Genomic DNA, 25,881 nt, shown 5'->3' on the forward strand with positions numbered 1-25,881 from the left:
TCAAAGATTTTCTGATTAGCAGTTGGTTGAAAGAGGCAACTTATTATCTAGGGGACTGGAATTAATAGAAAGGAGTGTCTGGATTAAAATAAGGGATTGTGAAGACCAAGGTTCTTACTATGCATCCCGTAAGTTTTGCATACTAAATGTTTTTGTTTTTATTTGTGTTGAAGTTCCCTTGTGACTTTTTCTTTGACACATTGGATTGAGAGTATGTTTCATTTCCACATATTTGTGGATTTTTCACATTTCTAACTTACCTATTTTTTTAAAACCTAAGACATTGTAGACTTCTTTGCACATGTAAGATTAATTTCATTACTTCTTTCTTTTATGAAAATATTTTTATTTTCTATAAATACATTTGGAAGAAATTATTTCTTCCCAACCCAGTCCACCCCATTAACTGTCAGTTTTTTCTACTAAAAAAGATGCTAATACCACCCTCACCTGTGACTGCTAAACAGAAAAATATTGCCTGGACTAGGCATTATTCCCCTAGTTGGAAATAAAGGCTGTTGGGCATGGGAGTTTGATCTTGTAAAGAAATCAACACTGAGACAAAGGATCTCTTAGCAAGGCTGGTTTACTTTCTGCCAAAAGGGTGCACTCACCAGCAGTCCAGCCACGAGAGCACACCAAACAAAGGAGACGGGGACATTTATAACCTTTACATCCTGATGCAATCCCCTATGGCTGTGTCCCGTTCCCATTGGCTGGGATGGGACCTCACACTCTAAACTTAACTGGATTGGTTAATAATTTAAAACTTTCCTAAATAGGACGAAGGGAAAAAGGACAAAGAAAAGAGGAAGTTAGTGATGAGAGGTCAGAGGGGTTCCCAAATAAGGAATGGCATGTATCCTGATCTGGGACTCATTTAGCCTTATCTCAACCTACTGGAACAAGCTGGAGCAGCCTTGGAATACACACATCCTAACATTTAACCGGGGAATGATAAATCTGTATGGATTTAAGAAACTTTGAGGAACTTCTCCATTCCTTTCAATTCCCTCCTCTTTTTGTTTTATAATTCTTCAAACTTGTCTAGCAAGTCTCTGCTTTGTTGTTTGGCTTGATCCCCTAATAAAAGCAACCTTTCCGAATAGGGTGGGGGAGAGGCAGAGGATAGATTATTAAGGGTTGTACTGATGAGCCTTTGTACAAGCCGTCGAATACAGGGTATGACACAACATCCAATAAGTAGAAGTATACCTAACACAGTTATAGAGGAAGTGAGGATTGAGGTTAAGATATCTTTCCAATTTCCAAATCAGTTTTCTAGCCAGCTAGAGATGGGTTATTTATGCCAGAGTTCTTAGCTAGCTTGTTTGATAAAGCAGTAAGTCCCTCTAGGGCTCTTGTTATACTTCTATCTGGGGCTGTGTTATTTGGAATGAACGTGCAGTATTGGGTCTTAATCATTACGCAAACACCACCTTTCTCAGCTAGCATCATATCAAGAGTGATTCTGTTATCCTGTGTCATTTGGCTAGTAGATCTTAATTCATCTGCAATTCCCCTGACCACTTTGGTGTAGTTAACTAATCATTGTTGATTATAGTAAATATAGTTTATCCAGTCTACATTTTTGTTTATCGTGACCCACCAAAATAACGTTGACTCGAGTCTAGCAGCTATCTGATCTCTGGCCTTAAATTCATCAGGAACCCCCCTTGCAACACCTGTCGCATCTAGGTGGATATGAGGATCAAAGGATCTGTAAGGAGCTCTTGTAGTGTGTTGGTGGTGGGGTGTTTCCTATTTTTGTTGATGAAATGCCAGGGTAAAAGGGATAGCCAATTGGACTAGAGTGCAAGTACCATTCCAGTTATATGGCAGAGTATCCAGTAAGTGCCCCCCGACATTACCACCATATGTCCCACTCAAGGATGGCTGATGGAGGCCTCATGGGTTAGCTCTTAGAAGTGCCTTACCTCCCTGCATCCTGTGAAATTTCCAAGGAATATTGAGTTCTCCTCCTGCTGTGAGAGGCATGAGGCAAACTCTGCCCTGGAAGATGGAGGCTGAATGGCCCTCGGGGGCTGACCCTCAGGGTGTTGTACTTCAGGATATAGCAGAGAGAGAGCTTGGCAAGATTCATCATTCCAGGCTGTAGAATCTTGAAAGAGAGCTACCACACACTCCAAATCCGTCGCATGTGAAGAACACTTAAGTGGAAAGGGGACAATCTGGGCCTCTGGCTTACCGTGTGCACAAGTGTAACAGTCGCTTTTGTTTAGAGTGTGGACAGAATATTTAATCCGTTTTAACCAGGCATTTGCATCTTGATACCCTGTCTCAATAGCTTAAGTCTGCTTTAAGTCATTTACTTGTACTACTGATGCTTTTGTCTTATCATTTAGTAAAGGACTAATTGGGATAATAGAAGTTTGATTTAAAGCCGAGACTACTGGGGTTGGAGAAGGGAAAGGAGGAAGAGGGAGAAGGCGTATTTCAAACCTCCCTATCGGATCCTTCCCCTTTGACATTTGCCCAATACCGTAGAGATGGCCGATAGCTGGCTGATTATCTATATTAGAATTAAGAATAGGGTTACACTGATAAAGCTTACAATCAGGGGAAATGCTTCCTTATGTGAAATAAAGATTAGGCCTAAGCTCAGTACAAACCCCTCCTGTAGAGGTCCAGCCTCTGTATTGAGTGGTCCATAGAACATTATTCCAACTGCTGCAAGGCTGCCATTCGGTGGGAATGAAGAAGCGGCGTCTTGGCTTTAATTGATCGCATCTATGGGAGTGAGAGACTGTTAGATTAAATGGGGGACCAGGACATAGATATTTTTCTGAAGAGGCTAGTTGCCTTTGGTTATGTAGGTCCCCGCATGGCATCACTAGACAAGCATCAAAGGATATCACTTGAGATGATTCCAATCTAGTTATGTTAATAATAAAATGAGAGATAGTGAGAGGAAAGAAAGAAAAATAGAAATAAAGGTATGTTAGGTTCTTCTTAATTTTAACTTGGTGGGACTTGGCTCGGGGACCACAATCCAGGATTCTGAGGGTGTCGACGCTTTCTTGACTCGAGTGTGATGGGTCCACCCCTTCTCGGCAGTGCGAACTGCGGTTTCGATGGTCAATAACATGAGGTAGGATCCTTCCCAGGCTGGCTCGAGCCTTCCTTCCTTCCATCCCTTTATGAAGACGTGGTCTCCAGGCTGATGCGATTGTACTGGGAATTCCAAGGGTGGTGCTTGTGCTAAAAGACCTTTGGTTTTAAGGGAAGAAAAAGTAGAGGAGAGTCCAAATATGTTATTTCTAAGGAACTGATCTTTGGTTTCAAAGGTAGGCACATCAGCTGAGGAATGTAAGTAAGGCAATCCATATAACATTTCATAGGGGGATGAACCTGTATCTCTTCGGGGAGCTGTCCTGATTCTGAATAAAGCAATAGGGAGGCATTTGGTCCATCGTAGATGAGTCTCTAAAATTTAGTTAGATGACTTGTCTGATTCATTCTTTCTACTCTCCTGGAGGAGGAGGGGTGCCACCGAATGTGGTATTCCCATTCTATGTCCAGCACCTGGGCCAGTTTTATCATAATGTGTGCCGTAAAGTGGGTCCCATTATCTGAGTCAACATTTTCTATTAATCCAAACCTGGGTATAATATGTTCAATTAAGGCCGTCACTATATTACTGGCAGTGGCCTTTGAGAAAGGAGTGGCCTCTACCCAATGAGTGATGTGGTCTACTATCACTAATAGGTATTTTAGCCTACTGGCAGCATTTCAATATAATCAACTTGAACACTTTGGAATGGTCTTAGCCTAGGTGTTCTTCATCCTAGAGGTAGTTTCTTTAGGGTCTGCTTATTAGTTTTCTTACAGATAATGCAGCTGTCAGTGACCTGTCTGGCCAGGGTGTAGATCCCAGTACATCCATAGACTGAGGACAGCGTCACATAGGGCCTGAGGGCCCCAGCATGTTCCTTGGTGTAAGTGGGACAGAACTTCTTTCATAAGGGGTTTGGAGAGCATCTCTCTCTGATCTGGGAGAATCCATCTCCCTTCTGTATTTTCTTTAGCCCACATTTCGCTTAGTTTTTCCTTTTAGGCTGAAGAGAAAATAGGAGCTAATTTGGGGGAGAGGAGGGAGGGAGTTAGATGAAATATTTGTTTCACAGCCATTGCTGCTCTTTTGGCTACCTGATCTGCAAGATTATTACCTCGACTTTCAAATGAAAAGTCATGCTGGTGTCCAGGGACATGTACAATAGCTATTTCTCCTGGTAGCTGGAGATTATTTAAAACACAAGTCACTAATGACTCATGAGCAAGCTTTTGGCCTTGGCTGTTCATCAGGCCTCTGTCTGCCCCAATTTTTCCAAATGTATGCGCTACCCCAAAAGCATACTTACAGCCTGTATAAGTGTTCCTATCTCATTTTCTGGATATTTAAGGGCCTGACTGAGAGCAAATAGTTCACAGCCTTCGGCGGAATAGTTATCAGGTAATTGCCCCGATTCAGTTTCCTCAAGAGTTTCTCCATCCACCACAGCATATCCACTGTGCCTGTCTCCATCAAACATCCGAGAGGACCCATCTAGGAACAAATGTTGTCTTGTTTTATAAGGGGTTTCAGATAGGTCTGGTCATACCTTGGTATCATAATTAAATCTAGATACAAATGTTCTGTTTGCAGCAATGGATTCCCTCTTAAGAATCCGGCAGGGTCAAGTGAACTATCAGTGGTTATAGTTAGATAATCTCTTTCTAATAGGATAGCCTCATACTTTAAAATCCTAGAATCAGTCAGCCATCTTTCCGCTTTTTGATTTAGGATGACATTGACCTTATGGGGTGTACTTACTGTTAAGTATCCCCCAAAGGTAATCTTTCTGCTTTCTTCCACTAATATGGCATTGGCTGCCACAGACTGGATGCACTGGGGACAGCCACTGGCAACTGGATCTAAGACTTTGGACAGAAAGGCAACTGGTTGCCGGTGGTCTCCATGTTGTTGAGTGAGTACTCCAAGGGCCACTCCATTGTCTGTGCTAACAAAAAGATGAAAGGGTTTTTCTAAAGAAGGCAGGGCTAAAACAGGGGCAGATATTAATCATGCTTTTAATTCATTTATTTGGTCTACTTCATCAGAAGTCCTTATAAGTGGGTCTGGCCTATTTTTAGTTAATTTCTCATAAAGCAATTTACTTCTTAATGCATAAGAATCAATCCATAATCTACAGTATCCAGTCAATCCCAGAAATAAGTTCCTGTTTTGTTTGAGGCAGGGGCAAGGAGACATTTCCCTCGACCTGTTCAGGTCCTATTCTCCTTTTGGCCGTGCTAATTAGATGACCTAAATGTCTAACTTCTGTTTCTACATATTGGAGCTCTTCTTTGGAGACCCGCAGTCCCTTAGAGTATAAATGATTCAGGAAGTACACAGAGTATTCACTTACTTTTTCTATATCTTCTCCAGATATAAGTATGTCATCCATATATAGGATTAATTGTAAATGTGGTGGAGTGTCTGTCTTTCTAATAATCCTATCTAGAGCATGAGTAAAAATATTCAGTGAATCCTCAAATCCTGGGGCAATACTATCCACCGGTACTGCTGCTTCTGTCCTGTATGGGGGTCCTCCCATTTGAATGTGAATAGATCTTGGCTGTCCTCAGCCAAAGGACGTGCCCAGAAAGCATCCTTTAAGTCTATTACAGTAAACCATTGATGACTTTACAGAATTTTACTAAGGTTAATATATGGATTTGTCATAGTAGCGTGAGTGGTTTGAACTATTTCATTTATAGCTCTGAGATCTTGTACTAATAGGTAGGATCCATCAGGCTTCCTGACAGGTAGGATAAGGGTATTATACGGAGACATGCAAGGCTCTAAAAGTCCATCTTTAATAAGGCCTTCAATCACAGGTTTTAGTCCTACCCGGCCTTCCAGGGAGATCGGGTATTACTTTCTCCGGGCTACTCCCCCTTGGAACCTTTAAATGTATTTGTATCAGGGGAATCCGTAACTCCCTTGCTTTCCTTCTCTTGACCATAAATCCGGATGAATTTTCCTCTCATCAACAGTAGTTAGCAGGTGGAGAGAGGGAAGGAACCCCTTTGGCCCTACTTGCAGTCCAAGACCTAACTTTAGCATTAAGTCTCTTCCTAACAAATTAGTGCCTGCTTCAGGAATTAATGGAAATTGAATATTAGCTGCCTCATTTTTGTATCTGACTTCTATATCTTCTAGGATTTTGGCCTTAAACCTCTCTTCTTTCACCCCAGATAATAGTAGCTCTTCTGGAGAACAGCTGAGGCCACTTGGAGAAAAGCGTAAGGAAGAACAAGTAGCTCCAGAATCAATGAGGAATGTTATTAGTTAATGGTTTGGTCCCACCTCCAAATTTATCAAGGGCTCTTGATGGGACTCAAGGTGGAAAAGAAAGAGCCCCTGACTCACGTATTCTTCCTCTCTGAAGGTTGGCATGAGAGGAGGAATTTCCTCTGTGGCCTTTAGGTCAGGGCATTCTCTCTTAAAATGGCCTGTTTTTCCACATTTATAATACCTATCTTGTCCCCCTTCTTGTTCTATTCTGGAGATCCTTTGTTTTAGTTTCTCTTCATCTGCTCTACATCTCCACCCTTTATGACATATGCTGTGGTCTTCTCATGTTCCATTTCAACCTCGACCCCTGCCTCTCTGTGAGATGGCACCCCTGGACACTGGTCAAAATCTCATCCCAGGTATATTTGGTCCTAGTGAAATCTGCCAAAAAATTTTTGCCTTTTGTTTTTGTCTGTCTTCATCCTTCTCATGTATGCTTTCTCTGCTGCTGCTAAAAGTTCTTCAATTGACTGATTTTTCCACCTCTCTATCTTTTGTAGCTTCCTCGCGATACCTGGCCAACTATTGGTAACAAAATGTAATTTTAACATACCTTGTCCTAGTGGACTGTCAGGATCTAAATCAGCATACCTTCTTATCTGCTCCCTTAGTCTAAAAAGTGCATAGGTCCCTCATCTTTCTCTTGTTGTTCATCAAAGGCCTTAGTGAGGTTTTGGGGTCTGGGTGCAGACTCCTTGATACCTTTTATAATTAATTCTTGTAGATCCCTCATATTCTTCTGGTGAGCAGCATTATTATTATTCCATTGTGGGTCCCGAGCAGGAAATGTAACATCCGCTGCCGGAATATTTTGACCGGCAGGGTAATCACGTTCCCAGGCCCCCATAGCAGCTCTGCAGATCATGTTCCGCTCTTCCTTTGAAAAGAGGATACCCAGGATTGACATTAATTCAGTCCAAGTATATAGTTTGGAACCTAAAAACTGGTCAATTTGCTCTGCTACTCTCTCTGGGTCATCTAGCAAAGGCTTAAGCTCTTTCTTTAGACCTCGGACTTCAGAGGTGGTTAAAGGGGCGTTCATGAATCCAGTTGTACCCCTACCCTGTGGCACCTCCATTAGAGGGAAGAGCTGAGAAGCCAGCTCTTCGGAAGCGCAGGGAAAGGGAAAATTTTGAATATCCCTTCTACATTGTTCTATCTCTCTCTGAAGCCCTCTTTTTAAGGAGATATCAGAGACTTCTGCCTCCGGAGCCTGAGGAGGAGGAGGCGGGACTACCACCTGAGGAGGAGGTGGGACTAACTGCTGCCTGAGGAGGAGGAGGCGGGACTAGAAAAGGAGGAAGATGGTTTAGGGGATCCCACTGGATATTCTCTTTTTACCCTCCTCCATCCCTTGCTTCAGATCCCTTAGGGGATAAAGAGAAACTGGCCCCAGCTGCCAGCACATGGCATAGTGTATCTCTTCTGAAGACATACAACTTTTGCTATTAACATACAGTATTAGAAGCTGGCAGACCCAGTCTTCATTCGAGCCATATTTTGGCCAGAAAACAGCAGGTTTTAAAATTGGCTCTTGGGTCCACAGAAAGCAACAATACTTGATCATTAGTTGCTTTTTCTTATATTTAGTCCTTTCATTTTCTTTCCAGTGTGTAAGCATAAGTCCTAAAGGACTATCAGGAGGGATTCAGTCTTTCTTGCCTCCTTCATCTCTGGCCTTGTTTCCAGTTGCAGGCCTACTAGAAGTATTCCCCATGTTGGGTGAGACTTTTTCCCAGTAGACTCAATCCCCCAGATCCTCCAGCTCAGGGATATCTTGTCTGCTCAAATGTATTTACTCCTTTTCCCTGGGGATTAGCCTTCCCCTTTTTAGTGTTAGTTTCTTATTGCCTGTATTCTCAGTTCCCTGGAGATAACTTTCTCCCCTCTGTTCCCTGTTCTGAAGATAATCCACATTCCTCTTACAGTCACTTTCTCTCAACCACAGTCATTCACTCACATACATCACACAACCCTTCAAGGAAGGACCACCAAAGAAGTACTTTGCCACCCTCTAGCAGTTTTTCCTACCTTGGCTCATGCACGAGGTCTCCTGGTCCCGCGGTTTTAAAAGTCTCCTTGTCCCCTGCATTGCTGAGAATCCAGATGTATTCCTCTTACTGGGTGAGCCCTGGCTATCTCCCTGGGGCTGCTGCAGCAGGGCAGCTGGGTGCCTCCCCACAAGAGAGGGCCAAGGACTGGAGGGGAAACAGTGTCCCCATACGAGCCACAAAATTGATGGGCACGGGAATTTGATGTTGTAAAGAAATCAACACCGAGACAAAGGATCTCTCAGCAAGGCTAGTTTACTTTCTGCAGAAAGGGTACACTCACCAGCAGTCCAGCCACGAGAGCACACCAAACAAAGGAGACAGGGACATTTATAACCTTTACATCCTGACACAATCCCCTATGGCTGTGTCCCGTTCCCATTGGCTGGGATGGGACCTCACACTCTAAACTTAACTGGGTTGGGTAATAATTTAAAACTTTCCTAAATAGGAAGAAGGGAAAAAGGACAAAGAAAAGAGGAAGTTAGTGATGAGAGGTCAGAGGGGTTCCCAAATAAGGAATGGCATGTATCCTAATCTGGGACTCATTTAGCCTTATCTCAACCTACTGGAACAAGTTGGAGCAGCCTGGGAATATACACATCCTAACATTTAACCGGGGAATGATAAATCCTTTATGGATTTAAGAAACTTTGTAGAAGAACTTCTTCATGCCTTACAAGGCCCTTCCTGGGGGCAGGAAGTGAGATTCCAAGAGGACCCTATAGCAGTAGGCAACCAAGAGTCAAAACAAGCATATGCAGTAGTCATAATCATGCTAGTATGACAGTATGAATTAGCCAGGCATATATAGGAGTTTAGATGGGGGAATAGTGGAAGCCCACAAAACTTCCACGTTTGGGCCCTCACCAGAGACACTGGTCTAGAAACACAATAAAATGTCTGCCTGGGTAGTCATGATCATTCTATTATGAGGTAGACAGGAAACAGAGCAGGGCCAGGAGATGGAAGGGGCCTCCCTTGCCCTCAGGAGTCCCTGACCAGGGAAGATCCCTCCATGCTCTCTGAGGGTGGCGGGGCTCCAAAGATCCTGGCCAGGAGTGCTTTGTTGGAGTGGGCCTTGTCCTAGGCAGTTGCCAGGTGAGCCCATTCACACCCTACTGGCTGTGCTGCTTTCCGGGCCCTCAGTTCCTGCTCAGTAGGACGTTGGGCAAATGTCCAGGAGCCATCTGGGTGAGCAAGATCCCCATCAACAGCAAGAAAGCATTGTCCCCATTCCACACTTTGAAGATAGAAGATGGTCTCACACTTGGCCTGAGTGACCTCCACTCTCAGGTGCTGCCTGTGTGCACACCTGGCGCTCAAAGGCAAGGTGCTCGCTGTGGTGGGACCAGGTGAAATGGTGCAAGTACTTGAGATTCCATAGGTCATAATGGGAGGGGCTGCACCTGTGGGTACCCATAGGCGTGTTGTGTAGACTGGCCGCCACACTCTTGGCTATGCGCTTGTCACGGAACTCCACCCATCCCTCTGTGTAGTCCTTGCTGTGGTACTGCTTTTTTCCCTCCCACGGCTGCTGCTGCCTTCTTTTTGCATCTCACAAACCAGTCCTCAGCCTGAAAGAACGCATCTGACCTCACCATAGGCACTGAGAAGGTTGCGGACATGTAGGGGCTGGAAGTGTGGTGGGATATGGCCCAGGTACACAATACCTGGCACTACCCGCTTCTTGCTGCCACAGGCTGCTGCTTTGGATTCCTCCTGCTCCTCCTCCACATCTAGTGTCTGGTCTGTCCCTTCCAGCGCCTTTGCTCTGTTGCGGCCTTCTCCGATTCCTCTGCCTCCGTGTTGACTGACACGAGCAGCACGACCTAATTTCATTACTTCTAATGACTGCATAGATTCATTTGCATGGTTAAATCACAATTTAACCTATTTTATATTGATGTATATCTAAATTCTCTTTTTCACAATAGTAAGTAATGCTATAGTGAGCATTAAGTTGCATATGTTTTGCTCGTTTGTCAGATTATTTCCTTTGGTTAACTATTTGGAATTGAGCTACTGGGTCAAAGTATTTTTTTTTGTCTTTGCATATGTGTTTATATATTAAGTATTTGTAAGTATTTATATATATGTTATATCTTGATACATACAAATCCTTTTAGTTACCAGGTGACTACTCAGCATTCTTTCTAACATTGTATGGTGTGCTTATTTGCTCACACTCTCATCAACATGAATTGATGTTAGATTTGAGATGGTGGAAAAGAGAGAGAGGTAATACAGGATCTTAAGGTAATAGGACACATTATGGGTGGTCACATTATGAAAACCATTTAATGTTAATTCTAGCCACTACTTTAGGATGGTTTGGAATAGGAAAGAATTTGAGAGAGGTTCAAGATGGGGAGATATGTTGTGAAGCCGTTGTAGTTTGGCAAGTCAGTGGGGCCTAAAATAAGGTGGGAGTTAGTTGCACTGGTTAATTTGATAGATACTAAAGTAGTGTAACCATACAATGGGTTCATCTTGCTTGCTGCCTAGACAGAGCTGATTATCAAGACAAGGGAATTGCAGTAGAGAAAGAGTTACTTATTCATGCAGAGCCAGCTGTGTGGGAGATGGGAGTTTTATTACTCAAATCAGTCTCCTCGAGCGTTTGGGTAAGGGAGGAGACTACTCCTCATATTGTCTTATGCCCAATTTCTGCCTCCAAAGAAAGAAGTAAAAACTAAAAGGCAGAAATGAAATCTACAAGCCCACAGCCCGGCGCCACGCCCTGGGCCTGGTAGTTAAAGATCAACCCCTGACCTAACTGGTTATGTTATCTACAGATTCCAGACATTGTATGGAAAAGCATCGTAAAAATCCCTGTCCTGTTCTGTTGTGTTCTGATTATCGGTACATGCAGCCCCCAGTCACGTACCCCCTGCTTGCTCAATTGATCATGACCCTCTCACGCGGACCCCCTTAGAGTTGTGAGCCTTTAAAAGAGACAGGAATTGCTCACTTGGAGAGCTCGGCTCTTGAGACAGGAGTCTTGCCGATGTTCCTGGCCAAATAAACCCCTTCCTTCTTTAACTTGGTGTCTGAGGGGTTTTGTCTGTGGCTCTTCCTGCTACAAGGGGATCAGAGTTTTTACGGATAATTTGGTTGGGGGGTGGGCAGTGAGTTGGGAGTACTGATTGGTTGGGTCGGAGATGAAATCATAGAGAGTCAAAGCTGTCCTCTTGTGCCGAGTCAGTTCCTGGGTGGGGGCCACAAGACCACATGAGCCAGTTTACTGATCTGGGTGATGGCAGCTGATCCATCAAGTGCAGAGTCTGCAAAATATTTCAAGCACTGATCTTAGGTTTTACAATAGTGTTGTTATCCCCAGGGGCGATTTGGGGAGGGTCAGAATCTTGTAGCCTCCAGCTGCATGACTCCTGAAACATAATTTCTAATCTTTTGGCTAATTTGTTAGTCCCACAAAGGCAGTCTGGTCTCCAGGAAGAAGGGTTTGGTTTGTGAAAGAGCTGTTATTGTCTTTGTTTTAAGTGGTTCCTAACCTGTTTGGCACCAGGGAAAAGTTTTGTGAAAGACAATTTTTCCATGGACTTGGGGGTGGTGGGGATATGGTTTCAGGATGAAACTGTTCTACCTCAGATCTTCGAGAATTAGTTAGATTCTCACAAGGAGTGTGCAACCTGGCTCCTTGCATGTGCAGTTCAAAATAGAGTTTGTGCGCTCCTATGAGAATCTAATGCCACTGCTGATCTGACAGGAGGTGGAGCTCAGGCTCCACCCGGTAATGCGGTAATAATGCCAGCCCATCTGCTGCTCACCTCCTGCTGTGTGGGCTGGTTCCTAACAGGCCACTGACCAGTAGCAGTCCATGGCCTGGGGTTTGGGGACCCCTGTTTTAAACTATAAACTAAGTTTTTCCCAAAGTTAGTTTGGCCTGTGCCCAGGAATGAACAAGTTTGGCCTATGCCTAGGAATGAACAAGGACAGCTTGGAGGTTAGAAGCAAGACAGAGTTGGTTAGGTCAGATCTCTTTCACTGTTTGAGTTATAATTTTGCAGTAGCGATTTCAGTAGGAAATAACTTGTTCTAGAAGTGAAATGAGAGCACCTTCTCTTAACTCTGACTCTTTTCAGTGATTCACAGTACTGGAAATAAATAAGAATTACCTACATAGCAAATTCCCAGAGATTCTGATTGAATTTGAAGTGGGGAATAACATGGCTATTTATTTGTAAAGAAAAGCATTTCACAGGATTTTAATGAGGAGCCAGAGCTGAGAACCACACTATCCCATTTTAGCTTGTAAACCAAAAAAATAAAATTTGAACTGCCAACCACCCTGGCCCCCAGCAACCATCTGAATGGACTCTCCCTCCTTGGCCAGGGCACTCTAACCTGAAAGACTGGTTCAGGCCATGACTGGAAGTGGGATTTGGACGTGCCTCATTATACCCTTCCAGCATTAGCATCAACACAGAGCTTGAGTCTGATAAGAAATATTTACAGTCTATTTTCTCTGAAGCCTGTTATGTTACCTGGAGGCTTCATCTGCATGGTAAAAACCTTGGTCTCCACAACCCCTTGTCTTAACCCAGACATTCCTTTCTACAGATAATAACACTTTCAACCAATTGCCAGTCAGAATATGTTTAAATCTACCTGTCACCTGGAAGGCTCCTTCCCCACTTTTGAGTTGTCCCACCCTTCCAGATGGAACCAGTTAAGTCTTACATGTATTGATTGATGTATTATGTCTCCCTAAAATGCATAAAAGCAAACTGTACCCTGGCCACCTTGGGCACATGTTGTCAGTACTCCCTGAGGCTGTCACTGGTGCATCCTTAACTTTGGCAAAATAAACTTTCTAAAGTGACTGAGACCTGTCTCAGATATTTTGGGTTCATAAGCTCCTAAATTTAGTAAATTCCTGTTGGTGCTAAAGAAAAAAGCATGTTGTCTTGGATTGAAAACTAAAGTTTTACCTACTAGTTATAATAATGCTTTGGTGTTATTAAATAAGTGGAGAATAAAGTAGTAAAACAAAGTGCTGTTCAGCGAGTATTGAATAAGTACATGTGACATGTTAAGCTTGTGTGTGGAGTGAAGTGTGGACATTTTTTAGAGAAAGTAGCATTTGAAACGACCTAATGGAATGGGTAAAGCTTCTGAGGACGTAGTTATAACGGTGAGTGTTAGGATTAGGTAGGTCAGGTTATACAAAGGGAAGAGATTGGGAAGTGTGGTGTTTGCCTGGGGACCTCTAAATCTAGGTTAGTTAGGTCTTTGGTTCATTTGTTAGAGATGAGGAGGGAAAGATTGCCCTGTTAAGGAGTCAGAAATTAACTCTTCAGAGAATGGATAGTCTTTCAGGATTTTGAGTATTCCTCTTCTACTGGGGAATAAGAGGAAGAAAAAGAGTGAAGTTGTGGTTTAGAGAAGGCACATTATTTAGGCTTAGAGAGTTCTTAGGAGATGTGGGAATATTTTGACACCATTAATGATGTTGAAGACCATGACTTGGTTGCCTCATGGCCCCAGTAAGGAAGATAAAGATGGGTGTCCTTAAAGAGGTGAGAGGTGTTTATTATGAATATTTTGGTTACTTTATGCTCATATATCTTGAAATACAAGCCCTTAGCTAATGAATCTGTTTTGTGAGACAAGTCCTTAGTTTATTTAATGAGAATAATTCTATCAGCCCTCTTGTTAAAAAGCTAAGAATTTGATGAATGTTTCATGAACCAAGTATAAAGCACTCTGAAATCCTCTGAGGAGAATACAAGGCTATTTGAGTAGCTACTTTTCAATGAATATACTGAATTTCAAAATATTAGTTAATGATGGCTGTGTAGACCCAAGGGAAAATTTCCCCTTTGCCCTTTGAAGGTTCACTGAAAAATCAACTTACAAAAACCAGATTAATAGGAGAAATGGTATACAAATTTATTAGTGTGCATGGGGAAGAATCACAGAATGATTGTCTAATAACCCACTGGGGTACAGATGCTTATTACCCTACTTCTTAGGGGAAAAGGAGATGGGGAAATGTGGATGTTTTTATGGGGATTGTAAATGATTTTTAGGGGAACTCAGTGGGCTTCAAGGACAAGTGGCCTGGGACAGTCTTTTAGGCCTGCAGAACAGACATGGTTTGTGAAAAGTCCTTCCAGGTGTGTTGACAGACTTTAGTCTTTCTTCCTGCGGTATGAGTTCAGTTAATGAAAACTCAGGGAAGGGACAAGAGGTCACCCCCCCCCCGCCTTTGTCATATAACCTAACATATTTATATTTACACATTCCTTGGGTTCTGAGGAATAGGAAGTGGACATCTTTGAAGTGCCATTATTCTGCTTACCAGACTAACCCAACCTCCCCAAAAGACTGAGCTCAGTTTTAGCTTCAAAACTGAAAAATCTCTAATGCTGTAGATACCTTTTTATACATTTGGAATTTGTTTAGGTTGTAGGTTGTAGAGATAGGGATGACCTGGATTTTCTTTGCTTAACTGTTGCGGGCTGTGGAGGCTACAGAAAGAGTAAAGAGAAAGTAGTGAAGATTCTAGCTGAGGTTGGAGAAACTGATCTTTCAGAGTCCCTTGGGCAAACCTTTACAGAAGGCAGCTTTAGTGTAATATGATTTGGTTAACTACGTAGTCCTAGGGATTTTTTTTTCCCGTGCTTTTTTTTTCCTTAACTTTCTTCTTGTCCGTGTCTTACTAGTTTTATGTCTACAAAGATAACACATTTGTAAGACTTTGTGAATTCTCTTAGCATTTTTAATAATTTATTTGAGTAACTTTGAACTCTTTGAAGGAGAGGCCATCAACCTCAAAACATAAATAAAGTCTATGTCTGTTTGAATTATTCTTTTCCTTTATTACTTGAGTTCCTTACTTGAATTCAATTAATTACTTGAATTCATTTTCCCAGTTTGCCACTTCTTACTAGTGTCTGAAATATGTTACATGAACATATTTTCCTAAATGAAAAGTCTTTCTAGTTACTCATTAATTCTGATCATTCAGTCAAGCATTCACTGAAACCCTAGCACATGCCAGGCACTCTGCTTGGCTCTGAGCAATAGTGGTAAACTTTGATACCATCCCTTCCCTCACACAGCTTATGGCCTCAGGGCTGTGTCACATAGTAACTACTTACATGGGTGATTTTAGTGTGTGTATGACTGATTGGGAATCTAACTACTGTAAATAAAAGAATCTGCAAAAATTTTCTTGCAGTTTTTTTCCAGTGTATGATTGGTTAATTGTCTAATGATTCTTTTGAAATACTTCGTAATAGTTTGTTGACATAAAATTGAAATATAACTGTGACTATTATATAACATTTAGCCTAATATTCCTTGCTTATTTGAAATAAAGTTTAGGTTGCTTTTTGAAGTGAATATTGAACAGGTGTCATTTCTTAAGCTTTTCCCAAATATTTAATTCGCAAAGTTACAGGTCTTGGTTTTTGCAAATAGTTTACAATAACTCTTGCTTATATACAATATTCCTTAAAATGTTTCTTATTAAGGAAGGCCTGACACTAATTTTCCTTTTTTGTTCTTTTAGGAATGTTTTAAAGGAAGTTGGGCTACTCACAAGTTACTACATAAGAAAGCAAGTAAGTACAATCACAAATTTTTACACCATTTGTCTTAGAAGTGGCATTTGTGCCAGAAAACAAGAATTCTTCTAGTTCTGAAAGTGTATATTTGAATGTTCTGAAAGTATAATCCTGAATACTAGAATTATGACATATTTTAAATTTTTGTGATATGTAAATAAAATATGTCTGGATAATATCTTAATCTTGTATTACATATTTAACATGAAAACATGAGATAGTTGTTAGTATAGATGGATCTTGCTTGAGCCATACCTGATGATGCTGTCATCTTTTGACACACTGTTATGTTGCTGGAAGTGTTTGCATATTGTAGTCAGGGATTATGTGAGTGATTTGGCTTCATTTAACCAGATTCCTTTTGGTTTCTTTTAGTTTCAATTTGTATTGCTTTTTCTACTCAAAACTATATTACTTTGTTTTTTGGTGTTTTAATGTTATTACCTGCAGTCTTATGTTTAATTTTCTTTTTTGAAGTTTTTTGTGTGACACTACAAAGTAAAACTATTAGCTGCTCCTTAGCTATTACTGTCAGCCACACTGATGTAGCTGAGATTCACATTGCCTTTTTTGCTCCAGCTAATTTATCCTGTAAATTCATGTCATTAGCGTGGCTGGTTTAAGACAACCTGTCACAGTTGCCTGAAAGTTGACAAGGGCTTTCTGTTCTATATAGCATTGCCATCCTGATGGATCAAAGCTTGATTTAATTTGAAGTGGGAAATAACATGGTTATTTATTTACATTGTTCTTGGTATAAGGTTTCTGTTTCTACATACCTGATCTTGGTGTCTTATATTCATCTACTTGTGTATTTTTTTTTTAGGAGTTAGCTGATTTAATGAAGTTTGAATGTAGTGTGTTTTTACCAAAACAAATCTAATTGAGGTCAGCCAAACCACCATTTGAAGGAACAGGGAAATACAAATTTTAAAAAGACAAATTTTCTGTAGTTGTATAAAGCGACATCTACATTTAATGGACATGCTAGGCTGTTGTGGGAGAAATGTGGTTAGAGATGAGGAAAAATGATGTGACTCAGTGTAAGTTTATCAACGCATAAAAGATAGGACTTGTTGATTTGTTACCTCTGTCAAAATTTAGAGATGGATTTAAATAATCTCACTTAACTATATTCATTCATGCATTACATACATCCTGTGTTTCTAATGTGTTAGGTATTTTGCAGAGCTCTTTGAGCCAGTTACTAGCATTTTATACCCAGGAAGTTAAAAGCATTGGTAAGTAATAAAGGGTTGAGGTTAAACAATATGTTAGTAAAAAAGCTTAAAATCGGCCTCTCCCTCAGATTTGCTAACTCATTGATGTGTGCCTGTTTCTTCAATACTGGATATTTAGGGGCAGGGCTATTTCCTTTTGACTTACACTACAAGGGAATAAACAGCAAGTGTTCCCTATGTAAAAAGAAGGTGATTATTACAACACTGGATTTAGGCTATTTGCATTTTTACTTACACCTCTAGTGTTTAGTATGGTGCCATCTTGTAGCTATTGCTCTGTTGGATCTTTTGGGATAACTTTTTTCAGTGGATGAGCCTGCTGTTCTTAATCCCTTTGGCTGTGATGGATAGAGATCATCCTTAGGTGGCCAGCTCTGTATCTTTCATACCCTAGTAAGTTGACCACAGTAAATTTTGAGTGACAGTCCTAGAGGGAGGGAATGGTGTGGGGAAGGGTGATCTCCAGAGACAAGAAGAGTATTAGGAAAAGCATTGGGGAAACAGAATGTTGCACTAGGAAGGAACCAATGCATCTTTAAAGTTAGCACTTCAGTCCAAGAAGTGATAGTGAGATAACACATAGCAAGCATTTCTTGTCATGGAGACGATATAGTTAGGTTTTTTTTTTTTTTTAAGTATAGTGTCTACTGATCTCTGATTAATATTCATATGGAATATTGATCTATAATTTGCTTTTAATATATTTGACTGGTTTTGGTATTGGAGCAATTCTGGACTCTTAAAATAAAATGGGATATATTTCCCACTTCTGTTTTCTAGAAGAGATTATGTAGAATTGATATTATTTCTTCTTAAATGTTTGATAGAATTCACCACTGAAACATCTGGATCTGGAGTTTGCTTAATCATAGAAGCTTAATTTTCTTATGCAGGCCTTAGGAAATTTTCAAGTGAGTTAAATAAATGACTCAAAGGTAGTTTTTTTTTTTTTTTTTTTTTTTACTTGTCATATAGTAAAGAAGACCATTCAGATGGTAAAGTCCTTAATTAAAAGCACTTAATGCTGATTCTTGGGTGCATGTTTTTTATACTGTGTCTTCTGTCACAGTGTACCTTAAGCAGCATTTACTTTTAGTATTATCTGTAGAAGTTGTAGCATTTCACATCTCAAGACTGTATTATTGTACACTTTTTAATGTATCGCTGACATATTCAGTGTGTTTGTTTCTCATTTTCCTGAAGTAAAGGTGGAATAATTTGACAAGTATCTTGAATAGCCAAAATTAAGGTATAAAAGCCGCATTTAATAAAAGAACTCTAAGTAATACTTTTCCTTCCACTCCCCTACCCATTCACACTAGTGTGCCTGATTTTTGGATTACAGAGAGAAGGTGTTATGTAATGTCTTAAACTGGCTCCACCAAACTTTGTGACCATGGGTTATTCTAAGTCTCACCTCCAAGATGCTGGAATCATAGGTTTGTGTGAGGATTAAATAAAGAAATCCATGAGAAGTGCTTAGCATGTGTACCATGCATAGTAAGTACTCAAAAACTAATAATCATCTCTGGAAGACTTGAGTCAGAATTTTGATCAGAAAATCCTGTCCCATGCAAAGCTTAGACATCTGTAGTTATTTTGTGTCAGCTGACCAGAGGAAGCAGCCTGCATACAACTTTTTAAAGAATAAAGCCTGACTGTGATGAACTTTGGGCCAGACCTTGCATGTATCACGTACTTATGACACTACCTGCATTTTACCTGGGACTGTTGCATTGTGATGTTTGGAAGACAGCTTACAAATGTATATTTATACTGCCCTGTTGTTGTACAGTCTTTTCAAAAAGACTAGTTATTATGCAGTTGTGCTACCATCATCAGCTCAATTCAGATTTGTTAATGGTCTGTTAATCTGGTTAGCACCTAAGGCTCAGATCAAATTGATCCTAAAATGTAAACGAATTTTCTTTTCAAGTGTGAATTTTCCGTTAAGTAAATTGTACCTAGAGATGAGAGGAGAACTTGCCATATTCAACTTTAGTTGTCTTGGTAGTTTTGGGTTATATTATTTGTTTGCTTTACATTCGTTTTTTTTTTGTTTTGTTTTGTTTTGTTTTTTTTTGAGACAGGGTGTTCCTCTGTTGCCCAGGCTGGAGTGCAGTGGTGCAATCATGGCTCACTGCAGCCTTAACCTCCTGGGCTCGAGCAATCCTTCTATTTCACCTCAGCCTTCCGAGTAGTTGGGATTACAGGTGTGCACCACCATGCCCAGCTAAGTTTCGTATTTTTTGTGGAGACGGGTTTTTCCATGTTGTCCAAGCTGGTCTTGAACTTCTGAGCTCAAGCAGTCCACCTGCCTTGGCCTCCCAAGTGCTGGTATTACAGGCGTGACCTGCTGTGCCTGTACCTAAATTCTCTTTTGAATATAAACTGTGGAAGGGTAAAATCCAGAGCAACAGGAAGCTTTAAAGGATTTTTACACCCTCACCTTCTCCTGTTCTCCTCCCCAGAAGTATGCTAGTGCAAAAAGCCTGCGTCTTGATTGCTTTTCTCTCCTAGGTTTTGGGAGAAAGTTATTCTTGAGGTTCATGTTTCAGACAAAATCACTTGATGCACTTCATAGCTGAAGCAGGCTCAGTTGGCCCCCATTTTGAACTGTTTTCTGTCATGTTTGACCCAACTAGCAGTGAATGAAGTTTGTTTTTGTCCTGTGAGGAGAAAGTTTTCCTATTGATATTAACATTCACAGTGGCTTTCTTGAATTCCAGAGGGGAGAAAGATATTTTAAAATTCAATAGCATGGTATCTTTCTATTCCTTTATATGTGATAGTATAAATATATTCTTTTCCAAAGTAATATGAATGGATTTTCCATATTTTTGCATTCTTGTCAGTTGTACCTTAAGGGCCTTTCCAGAGTTAGCCACATGCTCTTTAAGAGTACTGGACGGGGGCTGGCATTCTTGTGTCACAGCTCTTGTGAACCACACAGTCTCTGTTTCCTCATATGTACAATAAAGAAACAACACTATATTGTCTTTAAGATCCTCTCTAAGTTTAACATTTTAAGATTCCATCTAGTTTCCTTCATTTTGTATTTTAAATAGATTGTTTAAGAGGGGAGTTTTATTTTTTTTTTTTTCGGACACTTCTAAAATCAAGTTTGAAGTTTGACTTTTAAAACCTATGGTAGAATGACAATAATCAGGAAAAGGTCTGAGTGCACTGGGAGATGTTTAGGCCAATACTTGGTCTACGAGGGACTTGTATTCCGGCTACTTAAAGTCTTATTTTACTATGTGGATAAGAGTTTTATTTTACTATGTGAATAAGAGGTGCAGCCAGTATGTTGACATCACAGGCACCAAAGAGTGTCTTCTGTGTGAGTAGAATTCTTGCGTATATTTCAGTCAGCACACATAGATTAATAACTGACACGATTGTGTGTATGGATATGATTCTTAATTTTTCTGCTGAACTTTAAACAGACCGTTCCCTCCCTTGTCTTTGCCTTTTTCCTGCCTCTTTCCTTTACCCCTTTCTGAAAAGAGGCAAATGATGATCATAAAGTTTTCAAAGCAATTTGAAATATTGACTTGAAAGCAATTGATCAGCTTTGTGAGAAATAATTATTTTTGATTTTGAATTTGCTTTGGGATTACTTGGGATCTGTTCTTTTAGTAAGAACATAATTTATTTGTAACATCTGACCTCAGTTGGGTAGGTTTTACTAGGGCTTATGTTTCATATTTTAAAATGGGCTTTCTATAAATTGATGTGGTCAGAATACATTTAGAAAAGCTGTCTATGACCTGTTCTTGTTCGATATTATGTAAAAACTTAGTATATGTTTACATGGAGTTTTTTCTTCCAAGACCTTTAGATCTTCAAAAAGGAGTTATAAGGGTTTTGAATATAGCAGTAAAGCAGTTGCTTTGGTGATTTAGGTTAAGGTAAAAGTTTGGTGGATTTTTGTGCCTGGACTTGTTGGCTTGGTTTTAAACAAGAGATATTCAAAGTATGCTGCTGCTCATTAGCTTGACCACTGAAACATTCCTTTCCCTCCTTCTCCTCCTTCCTCTCATATCTATTCCTCCGTCTCCCAGAAGATGAAAAGGCGAAGCGAGAAGTGTCTTCCTGGACTGTGGAAGGTGATATTAATACTGACCCATGGGCAGGTTATCGATATACTGGTAAACTCAGACCACATTATCCACTGGTGAGTAAATAAGGTAATAAAAACAACATTCCAATTTTGAATTTTCCAAAAATGATACTCGTAATTTGTTTTCCAGTAGTGAATCATATAATCAGGATTGTGTTTACAAAGGAACTCGAATTTTAGCTCTTGAGCTCTTACGGTGCATCATTTGGGAGCTGGTAGTTTGGCAATCATGGAAGAAGTGGGAAAAATTTTAGATGAAAGAACTAAAACTTTTAAAAAGAAGTGTAGGGTAAGGTAGAATAGATATTTTGTTGCTGGCATGATGGTAGTGTGTACAGTCGTCCCTCGATATCCATGGATGATTGGTTCCAGGACATCCTCACTCCCCATATAGTTACGAAAATCCACTGACGCTCAAGTCCCTTAAAGTCAACCTTCCGTATCACAGATTGTGCGTCAACAGATGCAGAACCAGGAGATATGGAGGACTGACTGTATTATACTTTTCTAAAATTATTTTATTATGATATATTTCTCCCTTAATTTAGATATGGCTTTTCTGCCACTCTTTTGCCTTCCTCTATTCTTGGCAGATAGGACTTGGAGTCTTAATGTAAGAATTCATTCAAGTTGAAATCTGTTTGTCACCCTTAAATATTTAAATTCTCTTTACTGATGATTTTCTTTTTATAAAAGGAATACATCTTTAATCTTTAAAATTTGGAAAAATAGGAAAAGCATAACAAAATCTCCTTAATTCTGCCTCCCAGAGATAATGACTAGGAACATGTTGGTATATATTTACTTTGAGACATCATTTTATTGTTGTTAGCTTGCCAATTTGTTTGGAATAACATGGGTGTCTTGTTATTAGTCTCTGTCTAATCTTAAATCCTTAATGGCCTTGGCCACTTTCCCCCTTTCTAAATACCCTGCAAAAGGGGTGGCATTACCACTAGGAAAAGTAAAGCATAATCTTAATGAAATATATATCTGTTATAATATTTAAGATGCCATTTAAAACTTCTAAAAACTTTTGAATGGACTTCTTTCTCCCCTCGTTTTATTTATTTTTCGTTGGTAAATCAGTTTTAACTAACTTTGTTTTTAGATGCCAACAAGGCCAGTGCCAAGTTATATTCAAAGACCAGATTATGCTGATCATCCCTTAGGTAAGCTCTGCTATGTTGATTCTTCATTTTTCAATTTGTGGGCTTGATGACTACTGCAAAGGGAAGGAATGCTTTTCTTGTAGAAATTTTTCAGTGCTGGACTTCTAATAAATGTGTTTTCAAGCACCATTAGAACATTGAAGAGAATTAAAGATTCTTGCCCCCATTAGAAATCTACCTACCTCTGAAAACACTATGTAGCTGTTAAAGACTATATTTAAAATAATACTGTATTTTATGTTGTTATAACAACTTCTAGACTTACTAAAAAACAGTTTTTAATTTTAATATTCCCTCCTATCTAAATTAAACAATATCTATTTAGGTAAAGGCAGATGGTAGAGGCCTGAGTGAATGCATAACTAAAGACTTTGGACTGTAACATTAACAGAAGTAGTAATGGTGGTGATAGTGATAGTAATGATGAGAATGATATGATGATGATGGTTCTCTAATAATAACTGGTATTTATTTTTGCTTAACTATGTGTCAGGCACTGTGCTAAGTTCTTTGCACGTGTTACTCCATTTAACACTTTCAACACTGCTGAGGTAGGTTCTGTTGTCTTCTCCATTTTTATAGATAATGATACTGAGACACCCAGCGAAGATAGGTAATTTGCAACACAGGTCAGTGGAACAATCTCTGACCTTAAGGCCTGTACACATAATTAATTTAGACTTTGTGAAATTACTGATTTTGCATGTCAAAGAAGGTCGACTCTCAGCAATTTTGTGTGGTTTTATCTAGCAAGCTAAGCTATCCTTGCTTTGTTCTCTAAGAAGTGGGGAACTGTATTACATAACATTCTTATGAATATCATTTTTAAATTTTAGTTAAACCCTACTATTTCAGAAAAATTTAAGGGAAAGATAGTCTAAATGATAGCCTACTGTTGAGGATGTATAATTTCATTATTTTTCTATTTAATCTTAAATGTAGTATTAGCTTGTATTTTAGAAAAACAATCATAGACAAGGTAAATTCTAACAAATGTTATGCAGTGAAAGTAAGTTCTAGTCCTTAGAGGTAACTGCTATTCACCTTTATGTACAGAACTTTTCAGAACTATTCTATATATGTAAACACATTAGGACCCCGTCTCTGCCATCTATACACAAATGGAAAAAACTATATTTACCTTTTCACCTTGCTGTATTCACTTAATATGTCTTACAAATGTGTCTTATAAAGCCACCTCCTTTTTAGTGAATGAAGGTTATGTGGATGTATCATATTTCTTAAGCCAGGCTTTTACTACTGAGTGTTTAGATCATTTCGAGGTTTTTGCTTATTGTAATTTGACTGCAAATTTGTTGCAATTTGACTGCAGTAACTACTCTTATATTTATATCTTTGTCCATGTGTCAAAGTATTTCTGTAGGTTGATAGTCTAAAATAGGTGGATCAAAGGATATATACATTTTTGATTTTGAGAGATATTACAAATTTCAGAGATTTTTCCAGTTCCATTAAAAATACATGGATGTCTCTTTTCTGCTATATTTTTCGCAGCATAGTGTGTTACAAAGCTTTATGATCTTTGCTAATCTGAAAGACGAAAAATGTTATTTTGCTATTATTTTAATCTGCATTTTAAAATTATGAGTAAGGTTGAGCATCTTTTCATATATTAAAGTCATTTATATTTTCTTCCCTTTTGAAATGTTTATTCATATCCTTAGCCTTTTTTTCCCTGTTAGAGTACTAGTTTTTTCCATATTGATTTATAAATGTTCTTAGTATATTAACGAAAATAACCTTTTGATGTATGTTTTTAAAACTGTTTTTTACCAATTGACCGTTTGTTTTGTCATTACATTTATTACAGATTTTGAGTATCCTAACATAGTAAAATTTATCAGTGTTTTATTTTACAGTGTGTATGGCTCTATGACCTAGAAAGACCTTTTTGGTGCAGAAGTTATAAAAAAATATTCCTATGTTTTCTTCTAGCATTTTTATGGTTTCAGTCTTTTTTATGTATGATAAAAATCATTTGTATATCTGAAACTTACTTGGCATAAGGAGTTAAATAGGGATGCAACTTAATTTTTTTTCTCAGAAGGATACCTGGTTATTATATCACCAGTTATTTAAAAAATCAGCCTTTCCTTATTGATTTGAAGTGCAACCTATATTGTTGTATTATGTTCTCACATGTCTTTAGGTCTATTTCTGGATTCTATTCTGTTTTATTAACCCATTTGTCTAATCATGTACCACTGCCAAACTTTTAATTATCATAGCTATATAATGTTTAATATTTGGTAGGCCTTGTTGCCCCTACCTTTCCTCTTTTTCAGAATTTTCCTGGCTATTCTTGCATGTTTGTTTTTCCATGTGAAATTTAGAATCAGCTTGTCTGGTTCTCAAAATTATCCTGTTGACATTTTTTTATTGGGATAGTATTAAATTTATAGATTAATTTTGGAAGAATTGACATCTTTACAATATTGAGTCTTCCTGTCCAGGAACAGGGTATGTTTTTAAAGTTTTATTTGACTCCTTTTATGTCTTTCAGTGGTGTTTTCAGATTTTCTTCATGTAGGGATTTTATTGTTAAATTTATTCCTGGGTACTTCATCTTTTTAGTTGTTTTTGTACATAATAGCTTCTGTATTTTTTAGCTGATTATTTGTATGTGGGAAAGTTATTGATTTTGATAAATTTATCTTAAACAATATGCCAACTTGCTGAATTTGTATTTATGGTCATTTACCAGGTGATTCTTCTGTTCTAGAGATACATAATCACATCTGAAATTGATAAGAATTTTGTCCTTTCTTTTCTAGTTTTATATGTTTTATTTCTTTCTCTTGTTTAATTGCATCTGCTAGTATTGCCAGGACAGTGTTAAATAATAGTGCCGATAGTGGGCATTCTGTAATGTTGGTTCTCAGTTTGAGATTTATATTTATCATGTCAAGGTGGTAGCTGGCCATGTTATCAGAATTAACTTTCCTTCTAGATGATTATTTACTTTTACTTTATTTATGAATGATGAATTGGATGAATAGATTTGTCAGTATTGAACTATCCTTGCCTTCTGGTATGAATCTCACTTGCATCCTGATGTATTAAGTTTTTTTGGATTCTGTTTGTTAATATTTTTATTTGGAATTTTTCCATTAGTACTTGTAAATAAGATTAGTTGACATTATTTTTGTTAGATTTTGAGTTAATTGCTATCCTGGCTTTATTACTTTTCATGTATGTAAAACTTGAAGCTAACAAATTTTATTAGTGAAGATTTTTAGGGCAATATTTTTAAAACTTTTTTGAGTATGACTCAGAAATGGCTTTTATAACGTGATCTTTGTATGTGTATA

The 25,881-nt window shown here is 39.1% G+C and overlaps 1 protein-coding gene, 1 long non-coding RNA gene and 1 pseudogene across 19 annotated transcripts in view; 1 reads left to right on the plus strand and 2 right to left on the minus strand.

Moving 5' to 3' along the window:
- METAP1 (methionyl aminopeptidase 1) overlaps nt 1-25,881 on the plus strand; it is a 67,089-nt gene that overhangs the window by 17,191 nt on the left and 24,017 nt on the right. For 3 of the 15 annotated variants that reach the window (NM_015143.3, XM_017007914.3, XM_011531779.3), the window contains exons 2-4: nt 15,956-16,007; nt 21,319-21,431; nt 22,489-22,549. In NM_015143.3, the coding sequence (NP_055958.2) occupies nt 15,956-16,007; nt 21,319-21,431; nt 22,489-22,549 (226 nt within the window). Of the gene's footprint in view, nt 1-3,224; nt 6,721-9,247; nt 9,514-9,586; nt 9,607-9,848; nt 10,075-15,955; nt 16,008-18,596; nt 18,752-21,318; nt 21,432-22,488; nt 22,550-23,075; nt 23,101-23,131; nt 23,179-24,213; nt 25,031-25,881 lie in introns of those variants that run through there. The other 12 variants (XM_011531777.4, XM_024453946.2, XM_011531778.3 and 9 more) reach the window with 10 other exon arrangements.
- Nucleotides 569-8,718, minus strand: LOC124900738 (uncharacterized). 4 transcript variants are annotated; one of them, XR_007058198.1, is made up of 2 exons: nt 8,393-8,718; nt 569-3,231 (listed from the first exon to the last, which is right to left on the minus strand). It is a non-coding gene; the product is annotated as an uncharacterized LOC124900738 (long non-coding RNA). The 4 variants fall into 4 exon arrangements; XR_007058200.1 differs by lacking the exon at nt 8,393-8,718 and adding an exon at nt 5,430-5,509; XR_007058201.1 differs by lacking the exon at nt 8,393-8,718 and adding an exon at nt 4,835-4,901.
- On the minus strand, nt 9,211-10,244 carry ABT1P1 (activator of basal transcription 1 pseudogene 1; annotated as a pseudogene).

Source organism: Homo sapiens, chromosome 4, assembly GCF_000001405.40.
Source record: "Homo sapiens chromosome 4, GRCh38.p14 Primary Assembly".
NCBI classification, from domain to species: Eukaryota; Metazoa; Chordata; class Mammalia; order Primates; family Hominidae; genus Homo; species Homo sapiens.